Source organism: Homo sapiens, chromosome 20, assembly GCF_000001405.40.
Source record: "Homo sapiens chromosome 20, GRCh38.p14 Primary Assembly".
NCBI classification, from domain to species: domain Eukaryota; kingdom Metazoa; phylum Chordata; class Mammalia; order Primates; family Hominidae; genus Homo; species Homo sapiens.
In genome coordinates this window covers 61,949,298-61,969,651 of record NC_000020.11, presented here as the reverse complement: position 1 = coordinate 61,969,651, position 20,354 = coordinate 61,949,298, and the positions used below count along the sequence as shown (strand labels likewise).

Below are 20,354 nucleotides of genomic sequence, written 5' to 3'. Positions count from 1 at the left end.
AAATCTTTTTAATACTAGGTCTACAAATCAAGTGTAATTTTATCTAAAAAAGAAAAAGTCTGGGTGGATGTGGTGGCTCATGAGGCCTGTAATTCCCAGCATTTTGGGAGGCCGAGGCGGGCGGATCACCTGAGGTCAGGAGCTCGAGACCATCCTGGCCAACGTGGTGAAACCCCATCTCTACAAAAATAGAATTATCTGAGCGTGGTGGTGTGCTCCAGTAGTCCCAGCTCCTCGGGAGGCTGAGGCAGGAGAGTCGCTTGAACCCAAGAGGCAGAGGTTGCAGTGAGCCAATGTCATGCCACTGCACTACAGCCTGAGGACAGAGCAAGACTGTCTCAAAAAAAAAAAGGAAAAGGTCCCCTGAGCCTTCACCTGGCCCTGGCCTCAGGGCACTATTCACCCGGGGCTGCCACTGAGGCAGTGGCATCTGTGCTGCTCTAGGCTTTCATTGGTCTGAGCAGCTTTGGGGACCCATCGGGGCCTCCTGTGTCCTCAGTGCCATACAGACAGCAAGTGCTCAACCAGTGCCTGATCTCACGATGGTGGTTATGCGATTCGAAAGACCCCAGTCCCTATGCAGCCTTCCGAAGCCCCCTCCCTGGCGGCGCTGGCTATGCCCAGCAGAGCGTTGACACAAAGCTGGGCTGGGCATAGTCCCTGTGATGCTGAGCTCACCAGGAAGGTCGAACGGGAGCTTCCTAGAGCACCTTCAAGACTTGCTTGGAAGACAGATCACACTCCTTGTTAGAAACGCAGCTAGCTGCTTGTCAGGCTGTTCACTCCTAACTGCTAGAATTTGTTTGAGAAGGATGGGCATGCGTATATCTGTCTGCTAGAATTTGTTTGAGAAGGATGGGCATGCGTATATCTGTCTGCTAGAATTTCTGTTTGAGAAGGATGGGCATGCGTATATCTGTCTTTTCTCAATGTTCTTACTCAGCAAGTGCTGTGAGCGCCTCTCAGGCATGGGAGCCCTTCCAGGGGCTGCAGGGGCCGGACCCTGGGGAGCCTCCTGGCTGGCGAAGGGGCTGGGTAGAGGCTTGAGGTGGAAAAGGCTGGGGCTGGGGAAGGGCGCAGGTGGACAGGAGAGCTCTCAGGTGTGAGCAGAAGAGAGGCGGCTTCTCTCTGGGTGCATCTGAGGAGGATGTTGAGAATCATGTTTCCTGAGCTTATTTAGAAATTAAAAACGCAACAAAATACCAGGAACACACTCGTGAGGATGGGACCAGGACGAGTGTCGGGAGGGCACGGAACTCCTGGAGGTGCTGGGGTGTGGACTGTGGTTCACACCCTTCTGGCAGTTTCTTAAGGGGTTAAACATGCGTCTCTCACCGCTGCTTCTGGAGAAATGAACACAGGTGTCCAGCAAAGCCTTGTACAAGGTTCACAGCAGCTTTATTTTACCCCGCAGTGGAACGCTTGCGACAGCAGGAGCCCGCTGCTTCCACTTGTGGGAGATGCTGGGCAGCGCAGTGATGGGAGTGAGGAAAGGCCCTTGGGCACCTTTGTCGATGGGGTGGGAGAGGCCTGCCAAGGGCGTGAAGAAACTTGGGTGATGGAGAATTATCTTGACTGTGATGGTTTCACAGGTGTGCAAAGTGTCGAAACTTTCCGCATTGCACACTATAAATATATGCAGGTTACCATACGTCAATCAGGTCTATCTCAATAACGCTGCAAAAATAAATGAATGAAAAATAAAAAAGCTGCGTTCGTGTGTGGAGACAGGAACATGGGAGGTGCCAAATGGAAGAAGCAGAGGTGCGGGTGGGGAAGAGGTGAGGGTGGGGCACTGGGGAGGGGGAAGGAAGGTGCAGGGAAGGGGAAGGAGGGTTCAGGGAGTGGGGAGGGGGTTACAGGGAGGAGGGATGGGTGAAGGGGGAGGGGAGCAGGGGGTGCAGGGAGGAGGGGAAAAGGCAGCAAGGGGAGGGGGAAAAGGGAGGGGAGGGGGGAAGGGAGGACGGGGGAAAGGAGGAGAGGGGGAAAGGGAGGGGGGAACGGAGGGGAGGTGGGGAAAGGGAGGAGGGGGTAAAAAAAGGGGAGGAAGGAAGGGAGGGGAAGGGGGAAGGGAGGGGAGGTGGGAAGGGGTGCAGGGAGGTGGCAGGTTTGATGGTGCTGAGGGGCGGGGTGGGGGGCACTGCTCCTGACCCTGGTCCAGGTCCAGCACTGTCTGCTGATGCTGGAGGTGGGGTGGGAGGTCCGAGGTGGGAGGAGGGAGGAGGTCTGGTCCTGGTGGAGGGACCTTTCCATCTCTAGGCTGCAGGGGTGGTGGGGAGGGAGGGACGTACAATATTGTTTCGCCAACAAGCGTCCAAGGAGCTGGAGCTTGCTGGGCTGCCAGAGTCCCCTGAATGTGGCCCAGTTCTCTAGCAGGGCCTTCCACTCTGTGCTGCTCTTCCCCTATGTCCTCTCAAATGCCACCAGCTCCAGGAAGCCCTCCGCCTCCGTCCTGAGCACTCATCCCCTCACCAGCAGCCCTCTGGGTCACTTCAGACTTCACTTCTTGGCCACACTGGAGCCCTGGTGGTCCCTGGGCCGCCTCAGAAGCTTATGAGAAATGCCACGTGATGACTGAGGGGGCCCCGTGTCTCCCGGCACAGCGCCTTGCACGGGCACATGGGGCCAGCAGGCCCCACCCATCCTACCCGCTCGGGGTGGACCCAGGGGGGTGGGTCATGTGGCCTGGCTTGTCTTGGTCACTGACACAAGCTGAGGGATGGCCGTGACCTCAGCCTGGCCAGTCCTGTCTCACCCAGACATGTTACAGGAACTCCCAGAAGGACACTTCATGTTTGGGGGCTGGCAGGACGTCAGCTCAGTTGTCCAAGGACTGCCACCGTGGCCACTGCGGGGCAGAGTGTGGCTGAGACCAACACAGAGGCCGAATGAAGAGCCAGCCTTGATGGCATCCCGGAGCGCCTGGATCCAGCCGTGCCTGAGGACTGGCGCCTGGATCCAGCCGTGCCTGAAGACTGGCACTGGGTCTGTTTTCATGGTTGGGGGCAGGTGGCTATAAGAATGCCACACACCAATTCCAGGCTGCGGTGGACCCAGCCAGCCACGAGAACGAGCTCCCAGGAGCTGAGGATGGAGGGGGAGCCCGACATTGCAAGCCAGGCCCTGGAAAGCCAACTGCCCAGTCCTCGCTGCTGCCCTGCCAGGGCCCCTCCCCGCCCTTCCCCTCCCAGGGTAGATTGAGGGGAAAAGAAGCGTGGGCCCCAACCCTGGTGGTGCCGAGAACCCTTGCCAGAGAGACTTTGGGGAGCGCTCCCCCTAGAGGGGATGTCAGAGGCTTTTGGACACTCGGTGTGTGGGGAGGTGCTGAGACTCCTGGCGGGTCCTGAGGGCTGGATTGGGGCCACATGGTGGGGCTGAGGCCCACCCCTTCTGAGGGCCCCAGAGGGAAGGGTCCCCACACCCCCTCCTCAGAGCACCCACTTGCTGCGTTTGGGGAGGGGCTAGTCGAGGCCTCCCTGTTCCTCCAGGGAGAGTCTGGCTTAGGCCCTCCTCCGGATGCAGATGGCCCTTTCCCCTGTGAGCCTCAGTCTCCTCATCTCTGAAATGGGGACAGTGGCAGCACCACCCAGCGCCCGGGTGGCCGAGGGTTGACCTCAGCGCACTCGCCCCCACCTGGCCGCAGAGACAGGAACACAAAACACGCAGCTGCCCTGCGGGGTAGGGGACACGTGGCAGGCCAGGGGAGGGGCGGGGCCGGAGGGTCGGGGTCGGGGCTAGAGGGCTGGGGGCGGGGCCGGGGGCAGGGCCGAGGCGGCAGGTGGCAGCGCGAGTTCGCGGCGGGTCTGGGGCGGACACAGGCTGTGCCTTGTGGGAGCCGAGGAGGAGCCAGGGGCGGGGGGCCCGGGGAGGAGATCAGGCTCGAGCCCGTGGGTAAGGCCCGGGGCGGGGCACCTGGGCCTGGGATGCTGGGTGCATGGTGGGGGCCAGGTGGGGGGCAACGGGATGTGAGTGGGGGCGGCCGGGGGGGCCAGGGAGGCTGGGGAGGCGGGACGCGGCCCGTGTGGGGACGCGGGTGCCGGGTGGAGGGTGCCGGGGACTGGAGTCCCGGTGCGCCCCGCGTCCTTCGTGGAGGACACCTTCGCCTCCTCCCACCCTGCCTGTGTCCGTCTACACCTCCCCAAGCAGACACCTGGCCCGTACCCCGGGGTTTAGAGCCCAGGGCAGTCGCAGTCACCCAGGCTGACTCGCGGGAGGGCTGCCGATGTGCCAGGCTCTGCGGGGAGGGGAGGGGTCACAAACCTGCCACAGTCCCTGCACGTCGGGTCGTTGCCGGTGGAACTCCTGAGAGGGCACCAGACGTTGGAACCCAAGAGGCATTTGGCACCACAACCCCCAGGTAGAAGAAAAAAGGAAAAAGGGGCCCAGGAGGACGCAGTCCTGCGAACCCCGCGAAGGCTTATCTCCAGGGAGTAAAAGACTCGGGGACCCCCCGCCTTCCCGGACCTCAGGGCATCTAGGGTCCTGCAGTCGCCTGGGGTGGTGACACCCGGAACGGTGTGCAGGCAGGGCAGGGCAGGCGGAGCCAGCACCGACCGCATCTCCAGGGGATCTTGCTTCTCAGAGAGGAGACTCTTCCCAGAAAGCAAAACAGGCGGGGACACCCTAGATTCGGCAGCAGCTCCCAGGAGGAGGGACTGCAGGGACAGACTCGGGGCTTCCTGGTAGGCAGGTGGGTGGGAAACTGGCTCAGCCTCCACCACAGCAGCTTGAAGCACAGCCACCAGTGCCTGAGAAAGGACCTCTGCTCTTCCTAAAGCCAAGGAGGCTCCGTGAGGGTGAAGCGGGGCCAGACCCCACCCCAGCCACACAGGGCTTTGGCTTGCCGTCTTGACTCCTCCAGCAGTGACTTGAAGTTTCTCAGCTCAGTTTAAAAAAACAAAACAAAACAAAACAATAAAAAAAAAATTGGCCTATTGCGGTGGCTCACGCCTGTAATCCCAGCACTTTGGCTGGCTGAGGTGGGAGGATTGCTTGAGCCTGGCAGTTTGAGACCAGTCTGGGCAACAAGGCAAGATCCTGTCTATATAAAAAATACAGAAATTTTCATGCATGCCTGTAGTCCCAACTACTCAGGAGGCTGAGGTGGGAGGATCACCTGAGCCCAGGAGTTCAAGGTTGCAGTGAGCTGTGATCATGCCATTGTACTCTAGCCTAGGGGTGGACCCTGTCCAGGACCTAGGGTCTTGAGAGCAAGACCCTGTCTCCAAACAAACAAACACCACCCCAAACAAACTCAACTAGGAATTTTACTGGGATTGCATTGAATCTACAAATTGATTTGGGGAGAACTGACATTTTACATTATTGAATTTTCTAATCCAGGAATATGGCATAGCCATTTATTTATGTGTTTAATTTCACTGTGTAGTTTGCAGGTGGAGGTCTTTCATGTCTCCAATTAGATTTATTTCTAAGTATTTGGATGCTGATATGGTTTGGCTGTGTCCCCACCCAAATCCCATCTTGAATTGTAGCTCCCATAATCAGCACGTGTTGTGGGAGGGGCCTGGTGGGAGGTACCTGAATCATGGGGGTGGGTTTTTCCCGTGCTGTTCTCGTGATAGTGAATAAGTCTCATGAGATCTGATGGTTTTATAAAGGGCAGTCTCCCTGCACACGCTCTCTTGCCTGCCGCCATGTAAGACGTGACTTTGCTTCTCCACCTTCCGCCATGATTGTGAGACCTCTTCAGCCACGTGGAACTGTGAGTCCATTAAACCTCTTTTTCTTCATAAATTACCCATCTTGGCTATTTCTTCACAGCAGTATGAAAATGGACTAATACAGATACTGTTGTAAATGCTATAATTTTAAAGTTCGTGTTCTGTTTGTTTGTGCTAGTCTACAAACACTTGATGGATTTGTTTTTTGGGTATATTGACCTTGTCCCCAGTGACCTTATAACTCCACTGATTAATTCTAACAGATTGTTTATCTATTCTTGAGGCGTTCCTCTGTATGCAGCTGTGTCATCCGTGAACAACCACATTTTATTTTTTTCCCTTCCAACCTTTACATCTTTTATTTTTTCTTGCTTTCTGCACAGGCTGAGGCTTCCAGGCCAATGCTAAGAAGAGTGTGGTCCGGGGCCCTTGCCTCCTTTCCATCTCCAGAGGAAGTCTTCCTGTGCCTCAGTAAACTTTCTGATCTTCATGCAAGTCCTGTGCTTGGCTGGGTGGGCTTTCCTAAGGCAAGTCCCTGTGTACTGTCCTGATATTTGTTGTACCCTGGGCACGGAGGGGCTCAGCCAAAGCCTCCTGTAGCCCAGCCCCCCAGTTGCTCCCCTCCCTTCGGGATTGAGAGAGGGAAGCAGGCCCCGGCGGTGGGTGTGGTTTGGTGGCGAGCGGCACTCCTGTCTCCTGTGCCTCCCGGGGTCTCTGTGTGTTTTGTCAGCAGTCTCCTGAGCCATGGGGGGCTTTCCTCCTAGATGTGCTCACGTGGTCAAGGTGGGCTCCTGGTTTTTTTTGTTTGTTTGTTTTTTTCTGAGATGGAGCCTCACTCTTCGGCCCAGGCGGAACGGCAGTGGCGCCATCTCGGCTCACTGCAAGCTCCGCCTCCCGGGTTCATGCCATTCTCCTGCCTCAGCCTCCCGAGTAGCTGGGACTACAGGCGCCTGCCACCGTGCCCGGCTAATTTTTTGTATTTTTAGTAGAGATGGGGTTTCACCGTGTTAGCCAGGATGGTCTTGATCTCTTGACCTCGTGATCTGCCTGCCTTGGCCTCCCAAAGTGCTGGGATTACAGGCGTGAGCCACCGCACCCGGCCGTTTTTTGTTTTTGAAACAGGATCTCTCTGTCGTCCAGGCCGGAGTGCGGTGGTGCAATCATAGCTCACTGCAGCCTGGAACTCCTGGCTCAAGCAATCCTTCGGCCTCAGCCTGTAGCTGGGACTCCAGGCATGCACCACCACACCTGGCTTGTTTTTAAAATTTTTTTGTAGAGATGGAGTCTCCCTATGTTGCTAGCATTGGTGTCAAACTCCTGGGCTCAAGAGATCCTCTTGCCTTGGCCTCCCAAAGCGCTGGGATTACCGGTGTGAGCCACCATGCCTGGCCTAGGCGGGCTCATTTTCGCTGGGAGTGTCTGCTTTCTGGTCATTATCGGTGCCTGCTGTTCCTGAATCACTGCTGCCTGGAGACATCTTCCTGTTCTATCTGGAAAACTTCCTGGTCCTACAGCCTGTGAATGGCTGATCAGGGCTCATGAGCCAAGTAGAACTCTGGGACCCAATCCAATTAAACAATGGTGGAGGTCACTGTGCACAGTGTGCCCCACAAACTCTGCTCCACGCCCTGTGGCAGCCTCTCCTCTGGCCTCAGCCCACCCTGCACCACACTCCCCAGGCCCATCCGCCTTCCCCTTATCAGGGAAACATGACCGTGATTTTGGGCTTCTTGCCTCCAGAACTGAGGGAATACACTTCTGTTACTTTATACCACCTCGTTCATGTCCTGTGTCAGTGCAGCCCCGTAACATGAGCCCAGCTGGAGAAAGGACCACTCGCTAGGGTTAGAGGGAACAATCCCCAGAGCTCACACAAGGCTGGGAATAGGGCGTCTAGCCATCAGTCAGAGGCAAACACCTCCTCATTCGTGGGGCGTGGCATAGAGCACCCAGAAGGACTTTTCCTCACCACCGAGGAATGCTCTGCTTTCCTACCTAACAAAGCAAGGTCCCCAAGGATGAAACTGTTAAGTGACGTGATAGTGTCCCACAGCAAAGCTCAAGAATGTTTGGAATACAGAAACATCCAACACCCAGAAACGTAACAGTCACAATGTATGGCATTCAATTAAAAAAAAAAATTACCAGGCCAGCAGAGAAGCAGGAAAATACAACCCGTAATGAGCAGAAAATCCAACCCATTAAAATTGACCTAGAAATGTGATAGGTGAGAGAATTGCTATGCAAAGAAATTCACACAGTCACTGTAACTATGATGCATGCTCAGGAAGCCAGCTGAAAGCCCAAGAAGAGACAAAGAACGTATAAAAAGGCTCTGACAAGACTGGGTATGGTGGCTCATACCTGTGATCCCAGCACTTAGGGAGGCCAAGGCAGGAGGATCGCCTGAGCCCAGGAGTTCAAGACCAGCCTGGGCAACACAGCAAGACCCTGTTGTTAAAAAAAAAAAAAAAGTCTCTGACGAAACTGCTGGAGATAAAAACCACAATGTCTGATGTGAAAATCACACTGGATGAGGTACGACATGAATGGTAGAGTGGACTTGGCGGAGGAAAAGAGCAGAGGACCTGAAGATGTAGCAGTAGAAATCATATAAAATATAACACATGAGGGGAAGGGAGGGAAAAAGACTCCAGAGCATCAGTGGGCTGTATGAGGATGATGCCAACGGGTTAGTATGTCTGTAAGGGAAGCTTCCCAAAGAGGAGAAGCAAAAAAACATTTGAAGAAATAGTGATTAAAGTTATTCCAAATTTGGTGAAATCTAAGAAGCTCATACATAAGAAACACACAAAACATAAGAAACACACACAAAAACCCGACATCAGCCAGGCGCGGTGGCTCACGCCTGTAATCCCAGCGCTTTGGGAGGCCGAGGCAGGAGGATCGCTTGAGCCCAGGATTTCGAGACCAGCCTTGGCAACGTGGCAAAAACCCAACTCCACAAAAAATACAAGAATTTTCCAGGCATAGTGATGCACACCAGCAGTCCCAGCTATCTGGGAGGCCGAGGCAGGAGGATTGTTTGAGCCTGGGTGGCGGAATGAGACCCTGTTTAAAAAACAAAACAAAAACTGACAGCAAGGCACGTAAAAAATCAAATGGCCTTAAAAAGAAAATTTTTAAGGAACAAAAGGATGACAATATTTTTGTCAGAATATTTGCATTGTTGGAAACAACACAGGCTGGAAATGGTGGAACGGCATCCCGAAAGCACTGAAAGAAAACAACAGTCGATGTAAAATTCTTTTTTTTTTTTTTTTCCAATGGAGTCTCGCTCTGTTGGCTGGGCTGGAGTGCAATGGTGCAATCTCGGCTCACGGCAACCTCCGCCTCCCGGGTTCAAACTATTCTCGTGCCTCAGCCTCCTGAGTAGCAGGCACATGCCACCATGCTCAGTTAATTTTTGTATTTTTAGTAAAGACAGGGTTTCACCATGTTGGCCAGGCTGATCTTGAACTCCTGACCTCAGGTGATCCACCTGCCTCGGCCTCCCAGAGTGCTGGGATTATAGGCGAGAGCCACCGCGCCCAGCCAATTTAAAATTCTTTACCCAATGAAAACATTTTTTTCTTTAGAAAAGGTGAAATTAGTTTTTCAGAAACACAAAAATTGAAAGAGTTCATCGCCATCAGACCTGTGTCCCGGCAATGTTAAAGTGATGTCCCATTGTTACCGGGTGGAACGTCTTGACTGTGGGTTGTCCAGGTTCTTGGTGTGTTGAACAAAGAATTGAACAAAATGCACAAACAAAGCAACAAAAGAACGAAGCAATGAAAGGCAAGCAACGAAAGAAAGGAGTAACGAAAGCACAGATTTTTATTTATTTATTTTTAAAATGTTTACTGGAACGCCATGCATTGCCTTCATTTATTGTATTTCAAATCACTGTACATTTACTTTTGTGAAAACACTGCCTACATTTTCTACTACAAAAAAAAAACCTTAGAAATTGTTTCAGGAACGTGGATAACTAGTCGACTTAAATATTACCGCTGCACTACAGCCATTTCTGCAATTCCCGTTTCTTAAATAACTGTCTTGTCTGAAAACACACAATATATGGAGCAATTGTGAAAAACAGACATTTACATATACTTCTAAAGTCTTACTGAAAATGTCTTTTTGGCCCGGGATAACCAATCATAGGTGCGGCTGCAGTAGCAGGATATGAGGGTTCCTGTTGGTTCTTACCATCGTGCGTATTTGGAATATTATTTCTGTTTTGCTGAGTCGAAGGCACAGCTACATTGAGGCGGAAGTACATTCCGCAGAGTGGGAGCGGACTCGAGCAAGTGGCTCAAGACACTATCCCCCCCATTGCAATGCTCCCCAGGTTTTTATAAAGCTAAAAGATTTGGTAACACCCCTAGGTGCCCTTTAGAAGCCTCCCATTGGTTACACCCTATGAAGGATTGATCTGCGGCCAATCAGAGGCTGACGTGGAGGCTTCTGTCTTGTCATCACAGGGGTGGGGATGCGGCCTGTGTGCCGCCCAGTCTTGCCTGGAGCTGGCGGAGCCTGCTGCTCTTTTGCTTCTGCCTTAACCCTTGGTTACCCCAATTCCCTATTCTCCTGCCTCAGCATCCTCAACATATTAAGTAAGGTTAAAGTAAGCTCTGTAAGCAGAAGGAAAGTCATATCAAACGGACACAACAGTAAAGAAATAGCACCAGAAATGGCAACTATGTAGCCAAATATAGAGACGAACATTCCTGTGAGACAAGGGATTGGAACAGACTTCCCCAAAGAAGAAGTACAGATGGCAAATGAGCACACACAAAGATGCTCAGCGTCATTCGTCATCAAGGAAACACAAATTTGAACCACAGTGGGACACTGCTGCGCTCCTCCTGGAAAGGCTGGAATGTACAGGACGGACCATGCCAGCGCAGGGAAGGGTGTAGATTCGCTGGAACCCCCAGACCCTGCATGGGGGAGTGTAACATGCTACAGACATTTTAGAAATCAGCCTGGCAGTTTCTTGAAAAGTTACACCTCAGTCACCACGTGATCCAGCAGTTCCACCCCAGGTGGCCATCCAGGAGAAGGCCTCTGTCCATGTAAAGAACTTGACTTCGACATTCATAGCGGCTTTATTCATAATAGCCGTGAACGGGAGACAAGCCAAATACCCTTCAACAGGTGAATGGATAAAATAAATTGTAGTACACCCACATAAGGAAAGTTTTTCAGCTAGAAAAACAGAATGAGCTACCCCAGGGTGCAGCAACGATAACTCTCAAAAGCATTATGTTTGGTGATAGAGGACAGACTCAAAATGCTGCATCCTGGGTGGTTTCATTTATATGAAAGTCAAAACTACAGGAATAGCGAATAGAATACAGGAGCCCAGGGCGAGGGTGGAGGAGGGGATTGAGTGTAAAGAGGCCCAGGGAGGGAAAGTTTTGGTGTGATGGGAATGTTCCACGTAATCATCGTGCTGGTGGTTACACAACTAGTTTTGGTGTGATGGGAATGTTCCACGTAATCATCGTGCTGGTGGTTACACAACTGTGTACATTTGTCAGAACTCATCAAATTATATTTAAAATTGGTGAATTTTGTTGTATGTAAATTATACCTCAGAGAGTTTTGTTGTTGTTTTCTGAGACGGGGTCTTGCTCTGTCATCCAGGCTGGAGTGCAGATGTGTGATCACAGCTCACAGCAGCCTTGGCCTCCTGGGCTCAAGTGATCTGCATGCCTCAACTTCCCAAGTAGCTGGGACCACAGACGCACGTCACTACACTAGGATATTTTAAACAATTTTTTTTTTTAGTAGAGATGGGGTCTTGCTATGTTTCCCAGGCTGGTCTTGAACTGCTAGGCTCAAGCGATCCCCCGCCTTGGCCTCCCAAAGTGCTGAGGTTACAGGTGTGAGCCACTGTGCCCAGCTCTAGTTTTTATTTTATTTCAATAGCTTTGCACAGGTGGTTTTTGGTTCCATGGATGAATTGTGTAGTGGTGAAGTCTGAGATTTTAGTGCACCCATCACCTGAGTAGTGTACATTGTACCCAATAGGTAGTTTTTTTTTTTTTTTTTGAGACAGAGATTCGCTCTTGTTGCCCAGGCTGGAGTGCAATGGCATGATCTTGGCTCACCGCAACCTCTGCCTCCCAGGTTCAAGTGATTCTCCCGCTTCAGCCTACTGAGCAGCTGGGATTACAGGCGTGCGCCACCACACCCGGCTAATTTTGTATTTTTAGTAGAGATGGGTTTCTCCATGTTGGTCAGGCTTGTCTTCAACTCCTGACCTCAGGTGATCCGCCTGCCTCAGCCTCCCAAAGTGCTTGGATTACAGGGGTGAGCCATCACACCCGGCCTCCCAATAGGTAGTTTTTTGTCCCTCATCCCCATCCCTCCCTCCTCCTCTTTGATTCTCCAGTGTTCATTATACCACTCTGCATGCCTTTGTGTACCCACAGCTTAGCTCCCGCTTATAAGTGAGAACATACAGTATTTGGTTTTCTATTCCTGAGTTGCATCACTTAGAATAATGGTCTGCAGTTCCATCCAAGTTGCTACAAAATGCATTATTTCATTCTTTTTATGACTGAGTTGTATTTCATGACATATATATGTGTGTATTTCATTATCTGTCTGTCCGACCATCCGTCCGTCCATCCTTCCATCCATCCATCTATCTATCTATCTATCTATCTATCTAAATCTATCTCACACTTTCTTTATCTGCTCATCAGCTGATAGGCACTTGGGTTGGTTCCATGTCTTTGCAGTTGTGAATTGTGCTGTGATAAACACACATGTGCAGGTGTCTTTTTGAGGTAATGACTTCCTTTCCTTTGGGTGGATGCCCAGTAGAGGGATTGCTGGGTCGAATGGCTAATCTACTTTTAGTTCTTTGAGAAATCTCCATACTGTTTTCTATAGAGGTTGTATTAGTTTACATTCCTGCCAGCAGTGTGTAAGCATTCCCTTTCACCACCTCCACACCAACATCTATTGTTTTTTGACTTTTTAGTGAGGCAGAAATTTAAAAATAAATATGCATTCATTCACTCTAAGAAAAGTAACAGGCAAGGCAAAGGTTAAAAAGAAAAGAACAAGTTTTCCTCTGCCTAGCAGGGGAAAGTGCAGCAGGCTCACTTCAAGGACAGTTATAAGATAACACTGTTTGAGTAGCCACCGCCAAAGGAATGGGCTCCAGACACCCCCACTCCAGAGCAAGGTTGAGGGAAAAAAGAAAGACAAATTCTTTTACTGTTACTCCTTTCCCAGGCTTCTTAAGCATGATTATGTTTTACAAATGTCTGTATTTAGCTAGTTCTTGTTTTTCTTTTGACACAGCTGTGAGGTCACTAGCTATGCAAGGCCACAAGTTATGCTAAGTCAACAGTTACGCTATAGATTACGTGACCTGTCACTGTACGATTAACTGCTTTGTTTTACTCTTGTAAGTCCGCTTATAAAAACCCTGCTCAGTCTTTGTTCAATGCTCAGCTTTTTGGATGTGAGTCCTCTGAGCCGGTACGTACCTAAAATAAACAACAATCCTCCTGTACTCCATAGTGGTCTCTCCGTTCCTCAGTTTACCGCAACATTAATAATGGCCATTCTGGCTGGAATAAGGTGGTATCTCATTGTGGTTTTAATTTGCATTTCCCTAATGATTAGTGATGTCAAGCATTTTTCATGTGTTTCTTGGCCATTTGTTTATCTTCTTTTGAGAAATGTCTATTCGTGTCATTTGCCCACTTTTTAATGAGATTGTTTTTCTTTTCTTGCTGATTTGAGTTCCTTGCAGATTCTGATTATTAGTTCTTTATCAAATGCATAGTTTGCAAACATTTTCTCCCATTCTGCGGGTGTTCTGTTTACTCTAATGATTCTTTCTTTTGCAGTGCAGAAGGTTTTTAGTTTAATTAGGTCCCACTTATTTATATTTGGTTTTGTTGCATTTGCTTTTGGGGTCTTGGTCATAAATTCTTTGCCAAGGCTGATGTCCAGAAGAGTTTTGCCTAGGTTTTCTTCTAGAATTTTTATGGTTTCAGATCTTAGATTAAAGTCTTTAATTCATTTGAGTTGATTTTTGTATATGCTGAAAGATAGGTATCCAGTTTCATTCTTCTACACGTGGCTCACCAGTTTTTCCTAGCATCTATTGAATACGGTTTTGTTTGCTTTATCAAAGATCAGTTGGTCGTAAGGATTTGGCTTTATTTCTTCATTCTCTATTCTGTTCTATTGGTCTGTTATCTACTTTTGCACCAGTATCATGCTGTTTGGTAACTATAGCCCTGTAGTATAGTTGGAAGTCAGGTAATGTGATGCCTCCAGATTTGTTCTTTTTGCTTAAGATTGCTTTGCCTATTGAGGCTCTTTTTTGGTTCCAAATGAATTTTAGCATTGTTTTTCTAATTCTGTGAAAAAGGAATGTTGGTATTTTGATAGGAATTGCACTGAATCTGTAGATTGCTTTGGGCAGTTTGGTCATTTTCACAATATTGATTCTTCCAATAAGTGAGCATGGGATATATTTCCATTTGTGTCATCTGTGATTTCCTTCAGCAGTGTTTGTAGTTCTCCTTGTAGAGATCTTTCACCCCCTTGGGTACATATATTCCTAGGTATTTTATTTTTTTGCAGCTATTGTAAAAGGGATTGAGTTCTTGATTTGATTCTCAGCTTGGTCATCGTTGGTGTATAGCAGTGCTACATTGATGTTGTGACCGAGGCTTTACTGAATTCATTTATCGAATCTAGGAGTCTTTTGGAGGAGTCTTTAGGGCTTTCTAGGTATAAGATCATACCATTGGCAAACAGGTAGTTTGAATTCCTCTTTTCCAATTTGAATGTCCTTTATTTCTTTCTCTTGCCTGATGGCTCTGGCTAAGAAATTCAGCTAGTTTGCAAAAGCAAAGAAAAGAGGGTATCAGCCTGGGAAAAGGCATACAGGAAGATAGCTCAAAGTGAGCACATTAGATTCAGGGCGAACAGGTGTGTGTGGAGTAGGGTTTGAGGGCTACTGAGTGGAACTCTCAGATCGCAGAGGGAGGACCCATTCTCCCCCACCATCGGGGTGGCTGGGCTGGTCATTGTGGGGAGCTGGCTCGTGGCCAGCGTGGATGTCCTCCCCTCTGTGAGTTGGCTCTCTGCCCCGCGCCACCAGGAGGATGTCCTTTGTTATTTCACACTCAGCCTGCACGTGGGCAGCAGATGCAGGAGACAAGGAGACACGGGACACCTGGGGGTAGGTTTGGGATGGGCAGGTGGAGAATCCGTCTTAGTTGGTGGTAATGGAATGGTTTTAGTAGGTGGAAGTTACAAAGAAGCTTGTTTTGGTTTACCATGGAGTACAAGGGTACCATGGGGAGCCGAGCTGTCCAAATACAGAACTGGCTCTTTGCAGGCTGTCTGGTTGAGTGTGTGTTGGGGATGTTGCTGAGAGGATCTTGTCCTGCTGAGGGCTAGATAGGGCTCTTGAACGGTCCAAGTCAGCTTCCCATGAGGGGTCCCAGGGCCCCACAGCATCCGAGACTGAACCTGACAGGCCCACGGAAGGGCTGGTAGCTAACAGTCAGCACCCCAGCTGCAGTGGGACCCCTTGGCCTCCCTCCTGGGCTCCAGCTCCAGGCCTGGAAGGGCTGAACAGGCGGATGCAGTCCCAGCTGACAGGAAGTCTGAGGAGCAGCTTGTAATGAGCTTCGTTGGCTGACAGGTTTTTTTTTTATTAAAAAAATTTGTTTTTTTTGAGACAGAGTCTCGCTCTGTCACCAGGCTGGAGTGCAGTGGCATGATCTTGACTTGCTGCAAACTCTGCCTCCTGGGTTCAAGCAATTCTCCTGCCTCAGCCTCCTGAGTACCTGGTATTACAGGCATGCACCACCACCTGGCTGATTTTTGTATTTTTAGTAGAGACGGGGTTTCGCCACGATGGCCAGGCCAGTCTCAAACTCCCGACCTCGGGTGATCCTCCCGCCTCAGCCTCCCAAAGTACTGGGATTACAGGCGTGAACCACCGCGCCCAGCTGGCTGACAGTTTTATGTTACCACGAGTGCAGCTCCTTGTCAGGGCAGGTCTGTGATTGTGCTACGGCTCATTAACGAGATTGCAAATCATGCGTCTCTCCTGTGTGTGCCCACTCCCCCTGCAGGCCTCCGTGGCACTCAGTAAGCAGCGGGCTCAGGGAGAGCGTCCTGGATGGTCACCATGCAGGTAAGATGAGGAGGACACTTGGAACCAGGCATTGGATGCGAGCCCCACCCCATGGGAGGGGGACGGGGGGATGCTGGGCACCAGGGGGACCTGTGGGCCAGCTGGCCCTGGGCTTGTGCTTGGGGAGTGAATGATGGGTTCTGACCCCCATGCACCCCTGTGGGCCCCTGGCATCACTGGCCCCATCCTTCACCCCTGCCAACCACGCTTGCCCTGTGCCTCTGAAGCTCCCCCACTAAGGGGGTGGAGTCTAATTCCCTGCCCCTTGACTGTGGGTTCAGCCATGTGACTTGCTTTGACTGAGGGGATGTTCACGGGGCATGTGGTGCTCTGAACTGAGAGCTGCGGTGACCAGGCTGCTGTCCTGTGTTGCTGCCATCAGTGAGGGTGGCTAGCCTGCTGGTCAGGGGGAGGATGAGGGAGTGGGGGGCAGAGCTCAGCTGCCCCAGCGGCCTGGCCTGGACCAGCCAACCAAATGCTGACTCTGTGCTGCTGAGATCGTGTTTGTGTTTGTTACTCAGCAACTAGCTGATACACGGTCCCAGCAACAGACAAGGAAGCCCAGAGGTAGCTAAGTGACACTCCCAAGGCTACACAGCATCTCCTACTGGGAGCTGTGTAAGAAATGACCCCCCCCAAACCCTCCATCCTGGCAGCTGAGGGATGAAGGAGAGACCCAGTCCTCCTGTTGTCCACCTCCTCAATATCTAGGTGGGACCCCTACAATATCTTGATTTTTTAATGTTGACAATTGTGGTCAGCTGAAAAATCCCCCCCCCCCCACCCCCACCGCCCTAAAAGAAAAACAGCCCGTGAAGGTGACCTTATTTGGAAATAGAGTCTCTGCAGATATGATCAAGTTGAAGGTCTCAAGATGAGATCTTTCAGGACTAGTCATAGGCCCGAAATCCAATGGGAAGTGTCCATATGTAAGAGGGAGATGGAGGGAGGTTACACTAAGATGAAGTGAAGATGGAGGTGGAGACGGGAGTGATGTGGGCGTGAGCCAAGGAACTGGAGGCTGGAAGAGGCAGTGAGGGCTCGTCCCCTAATTCCCCGGAGGGAGCTCAGCCTTGCCGACCCCTTGATTTCGGCCCAGGGATACTGATCTCAGACTTTTGGCCTCCAGGACTGGGAGAGCATAAATGTCTTTCTTTTAAGCCACCGAGTTTGTGGGACTTTGTTACCTCAGGAAACAAATACAACAGTATATTCAACACTGTGAAGTGTGCTGTGCCAGGTGGACCGTGCCTGAGGCTGGGCCGGCCTGTGGTCTGCAGCATTGACCCCTTCTGAGCCCCCTGAGGGAGCCCCTGCCTGCCCCAGGCCAGGGTCTCAGTGCATCCGGCTGTCTCTGCCGAGGCCGCAGACCCTCCCTCTTGCACCTCCGTGTGCTTGAGATGAAGAGCCGGCGCTGTGTCCTCAGGCTGCTGAGGGGTAGCCCTTGGGTGGCTGGCCGTGGTCTCAGGGGCAGGAACGGCACAGGGGGCTGAGCAGGGATTTCAGGTGCTGTCCCTGCCCGACCCTCCCAGTTGGCCCAGCTGACTTCCCCTGCCTGGCTCAGCAGCGAGGGGCCCAGCAGCAGGGAGGTCAGTACCTTGGACAGCGTCCTGCAGCCCCCTGTGAGCCGAGGAGGGCTGTGTGTGTGTGCGTGTGTGTGTGTTTGCACGTGTGCATGTGTGTGCATGTGCACATGTGTGAGTGAGTGGGGGGTGCAGGGTCCCGCAGCTGGCTGGGCCATGCCTCTTTTGTCTGCCCTGCGGGTGGGTCTGTCAATACCTGGCTGAGTGGCCAGTGCCGTGGATGAGTGGCTCTGCCCAGCATAGGCCTGTGAACTGACCTCTCTGAATCCTCCTGGGACAGAGGAGTGACAGCGACCCCCATCCTGGGAAATGACCCAAGAGAAGGCCTCTGGGGCTCCCTGGAAAGGGCCTCAAGCTGGATTTTTCAGGTCGTTTGCCAGGCCCTGACCTCTAGGCCTGTAAGCTCCCCACTTGAAGCTGGGAGGGGGGTGCTTCGCAGATCACCTGACCCTCACCCCCACCACAGGGCCTCACCCTGGGAGTCTGATTACAAGGAGTGTCCCCCCACCAGGACTCCGGTCCCAGGCCTACAGCAGTTGCCTAATTGTGAATGTAATTAACTGCTCGCACCCTCAAAATTAGCAAGTGGTTAATTGTGCCTGTAATTATCAACTGCACCCATGATTAACCGTGTGAGTGGTTTTTTTTTTTTTTTTGAGACGGAGTCTCGCTCTGTCGCCCAGGCTGGAGTGCAGTGGCGGGACCTCGGCTCACTGCAAGCTCCGCCTCCCGGGTTCACGCCATTCTCCTGCCTCAGCCTCCCAAGTAGCTGGGACTACAGGCGCCCGCCACTACGCCCGGCTAATTTTTTGTATTTTTAGTAGAGACGGGGTTTCACCGTTTTAGCCGGGATGGTCTCGATCTCCTGACCTCGTGATCCGCCCGCCTCGGCCTCCCAAAGTGCTGGGATTACAGGCGTGAGCCACCGCGCCCGGCCGTGAGTGGTTTTTTGTTATGCAAGTCAGTGTACATGTGAATTGTGCCCCAGGAAAAGGAAGGTGGGGGGGTGCCCAGGGCTGGGGGAGGGGAGAGGGTGGGAGGGGGCCCAGGGCTGGGGGAGGGGAGAGGGTGGGAAGAGGGGCCCAGGGCTGGGAGGGAGTCCCAGGGCTAAGGGAGGTGAGAGAATGGGACAGAGGGGCCAGGGCTGGGGAAGGGGAGAGGGTGGGAGGGAGGTGCCCAGGGCTAGGGGAGGGGAGAGGACGGTAGGGGGAGGCCCAGGGCTGGTGGGAGGGAGGGTGGGAAGGAGGGGCCCAGGGCTGTGGAAGGGGAGAGTGTGGGAGGGAGGGCCCAGGGCTGTGGAGGGGCGGTTGCAGGGCTGGGGAAGGGGAGAGGGTGGGAGGGAGGGCCCAGGGCTGGGGGAGGGAAGGGGTCACCACTGGGCCCAGCCCTGTGGCCTGCCCTTCGGGGAGCTGGGACTGACTGGCTCCTGAGGCGGAGGTGGAGGCTGCTGGGTTGGGCACCAGCGTGGGGCTCAGGTCAGACTGCTGCTGCCCAGCAGGGGCCGGAGGGCTGCCTGCTTCTTCGAGCTCAGTTTCCTCAGCCTTTGAGCTCAGCCTCCACAGGTCCAGGGTGGCTGGCACTGACACTGTGCAGGGGCTCCACTCTTGAGCCACTACCAGTGTGGACTCAGGCTCTCAGGGCAGGTGGGGTCAGGGGACTGGGCCAGTCGTAGAGCTTTGAGGACCCAGAGTCTGGTGTGGGAGAACCCGTTTGTGCCTGGACTCATGGCCTGGAGGGCTGGGATTCTATAGTGGGGAGGCGAGGCCAGGGCGCCAAGGTGATCAGAGGGGCACATTGGCTTGTGAGAGGCAGGCAGAGCAGGGGGGCAGATCATGGGGCTGTGAGCCCACGACCCCCAGCTTGGCTGGGACTTGGCAGGAGAATGTCCTTCCTGGGCGGCGCCCATGGCAGACCCACCTTACAGCCGTGTGCCAGAGCGGGTGCAGATGGGTGGGATGGCTGGGAGGCTCAGCCTGGGCAACTGGGGTATTGGGGCAGCCTGGGGGGTCCTGGATAGTTGTCTGCAGTGATGGGCAGTGAGTGGCCTGGCCCAGCCACACACGGGCAGTCTCTCAATGCACAGACACCGCTGCACTGACCCTACATGGGGCCTGGCTGGTTTGGGATGGAGGCTGTCCCGGCTGGGTCCCCTTCATCATAGCCAGGCAGGCGCTGGGAGCTGATGCTTGTGCCCTCCAGAGGCCCACAGGGAAGGCGGGTCCTGACCACTGAGGGCCTCCGAGGTCAGGCCCAGGACTGTGGACTTTGTCTCAGGTGTGTTGGGAGACTCAGCGTTCCCCTAGAGTTGGGAATGCAGCTCAAGTTCACGTCCAAACTCAATATGCTCTGGAGGGACCCTTCCCCCACCCAGTACCACAGCCTCCTGATACAGTGCTCTCTGCGTCCTGGAGGTGTCCTGTTGCTGCGTCCTCCAGGGACGCGGGTGCTGTGTTCTCACATGGACAAGAGCAGAAGGCGAAGGGGGAGCCTCTTTTATCAGAGCACCAATGTCATGCACGAGGTGGGAGCCCCTGGGACCAGGATGGCATCTTATCAAAGGGCAGGAGGTAGAGAGCTGGGCCTTTCTGCCCCTCACCTTCCACCATGTGAGGACACCTGGATGGCACCATCTGTGTGGGGCAGGCCCTCACCCAGCACCAACCCTGTGGTGCCTGGATCCCGGACTCCCGGCCACCAGACCTGACCCATGTTCCCGTCCATCGTGATCAAGTACCCAGTCCCGGCAATAGGTGGTTACAGCACCACACATGAGACAGCTGGTTACTGGACATAGTGAGTTGGCCTCCTGGGCTGGTTAGTATGGATAATAGGCCGGCTTCCTGGGCTGGTTAGTGTAGTTAATGGACTAGTTCCCACCCGGTTAGT

General features: G+C 52.8%; 1 non-coding gene across 1 annotated transcript, besides 7 other annotated features; it reads left to right on the top strand.

Moving 5' to 3' along the window:
* Window positions 2,994-3,623: an enhancer, noted in NCBI's record as "H3K4me1 hESC enhancer chr20:60541085-60541714 (GRCh37/hg19 assembly coordinates)". NCBI's record gives its function as "activates a minimal SCP1, AML or CMV promoter by ChIP-STARR-seq in naive H9 embryonic stem cells {active_cell/tissue: H9 hESC(naive)}" and the evidence as "EXISTENCE:reporter gene assay evidence [ECO:0000049][PMID:30033119]".
* Window positions 3,624-4,252: an enhancer, noted in NCBI's record as "H3K27ac-H3K4me1 hESC enhancer chr20:60540456-60541084 (GRCh37/hg19 assembly coordinates)". NCBI's record gives its function as "activates a minimal SCP1, AML or CMV promoter by ChIP-STARR-seq in naive H9 embryonic stem cells {active_cell/tissue: H9 hESC(naive)}" and the evidence as "EXISTENCE:reporter gene assay evidence [ECO:0000049][PMID:30033119]".
* Window positions 5,155-6,354: an enhancer, noted in NCBI's record as "BRD4-independent group 4 enhancer chr20:60538354-60539553 (GRCh37/hg19 assembly coordinates)". NCBI's record gives its function as "activates an origin of replication core promoter dependent on BRD2, P300/CBP, MED14 and CDK7 cofactors, and independent of BRD4, by STARR-seq in HCT116 cells {active_cell/tissue: HCT116}" and the evidence as "EXISTENCE:reporter gene assay evidence [ECO:0000049][PMID:35650434]".
* Window positions 5,512-5,712: a silencer, noted in NCBI's record as "peak4299 fragment used in MPRA reporter construct". NCBI's record gives its function as "represses an SCP1 promoter by STARR-seq MPRAs in K562 erythroleukemia cells {active_cell/tissue: K562}" and the evidence as "EXISTENCE:reporter gene assay evidence [ECO:0000049][PMID:32103011]".
* Window positions 15,482-15,981: an enhancer, noted in NCBI's record as "H3K4me1 hESC enhancer chr20:60528727-60529226 (GRCh37/hg19 assembly coordinates)". NCBI's record gives its function as "activates a minimal SCP1, AML or CMV promoter by ChIP-STARR-seq in primed H9 embryonic stem cells {active_cell/tissue: H9 hESC(primed)}" and the evidence as "EXISTENCE:reporter gene assay evidence [ECO:0000049][PMID:30033119]".
* On the top strand, window positions 15,990-16,106 carry MIR1257 (microRNA 1257). The gene has a single exon (NR_031658.1). It is a non-coding gene; the product is annotated as a microRNA 1257 (primary transcript).
* Window positions 16,792-17,364: an enhancer, noted in NCBI's record as "H3K27ac-H3K4me1 hESC enhancer chr20:60527344-60527916 (GRCh37/hg19 assembly coordinates)". NCBI's record gives its function as "activates a minimal SCP1, AML or CMV promoter by ChIP-STARR-seq in naive H9 embryonic stem cells {active_cell/tissue: H9 hESC(naive)}" and the evidence as "EXISTENCE:reporter gene assay evidence [ECO:0000049][PMID:30033119]".
* Window positions 17,352-17,552: a silencer, noted in NCBI's record as "peak4298 fragment used in MPRA reporter construct". NCBI's record gives its function as "represses an SCP1 promoter by STARR-seq MPRAs in K562 erythroleukemia cells {active_cell/tissue: K562}" and the evidence as "EXISTENCE:reporter gene assay evidence [ECO:0000049][PMID:32103011]".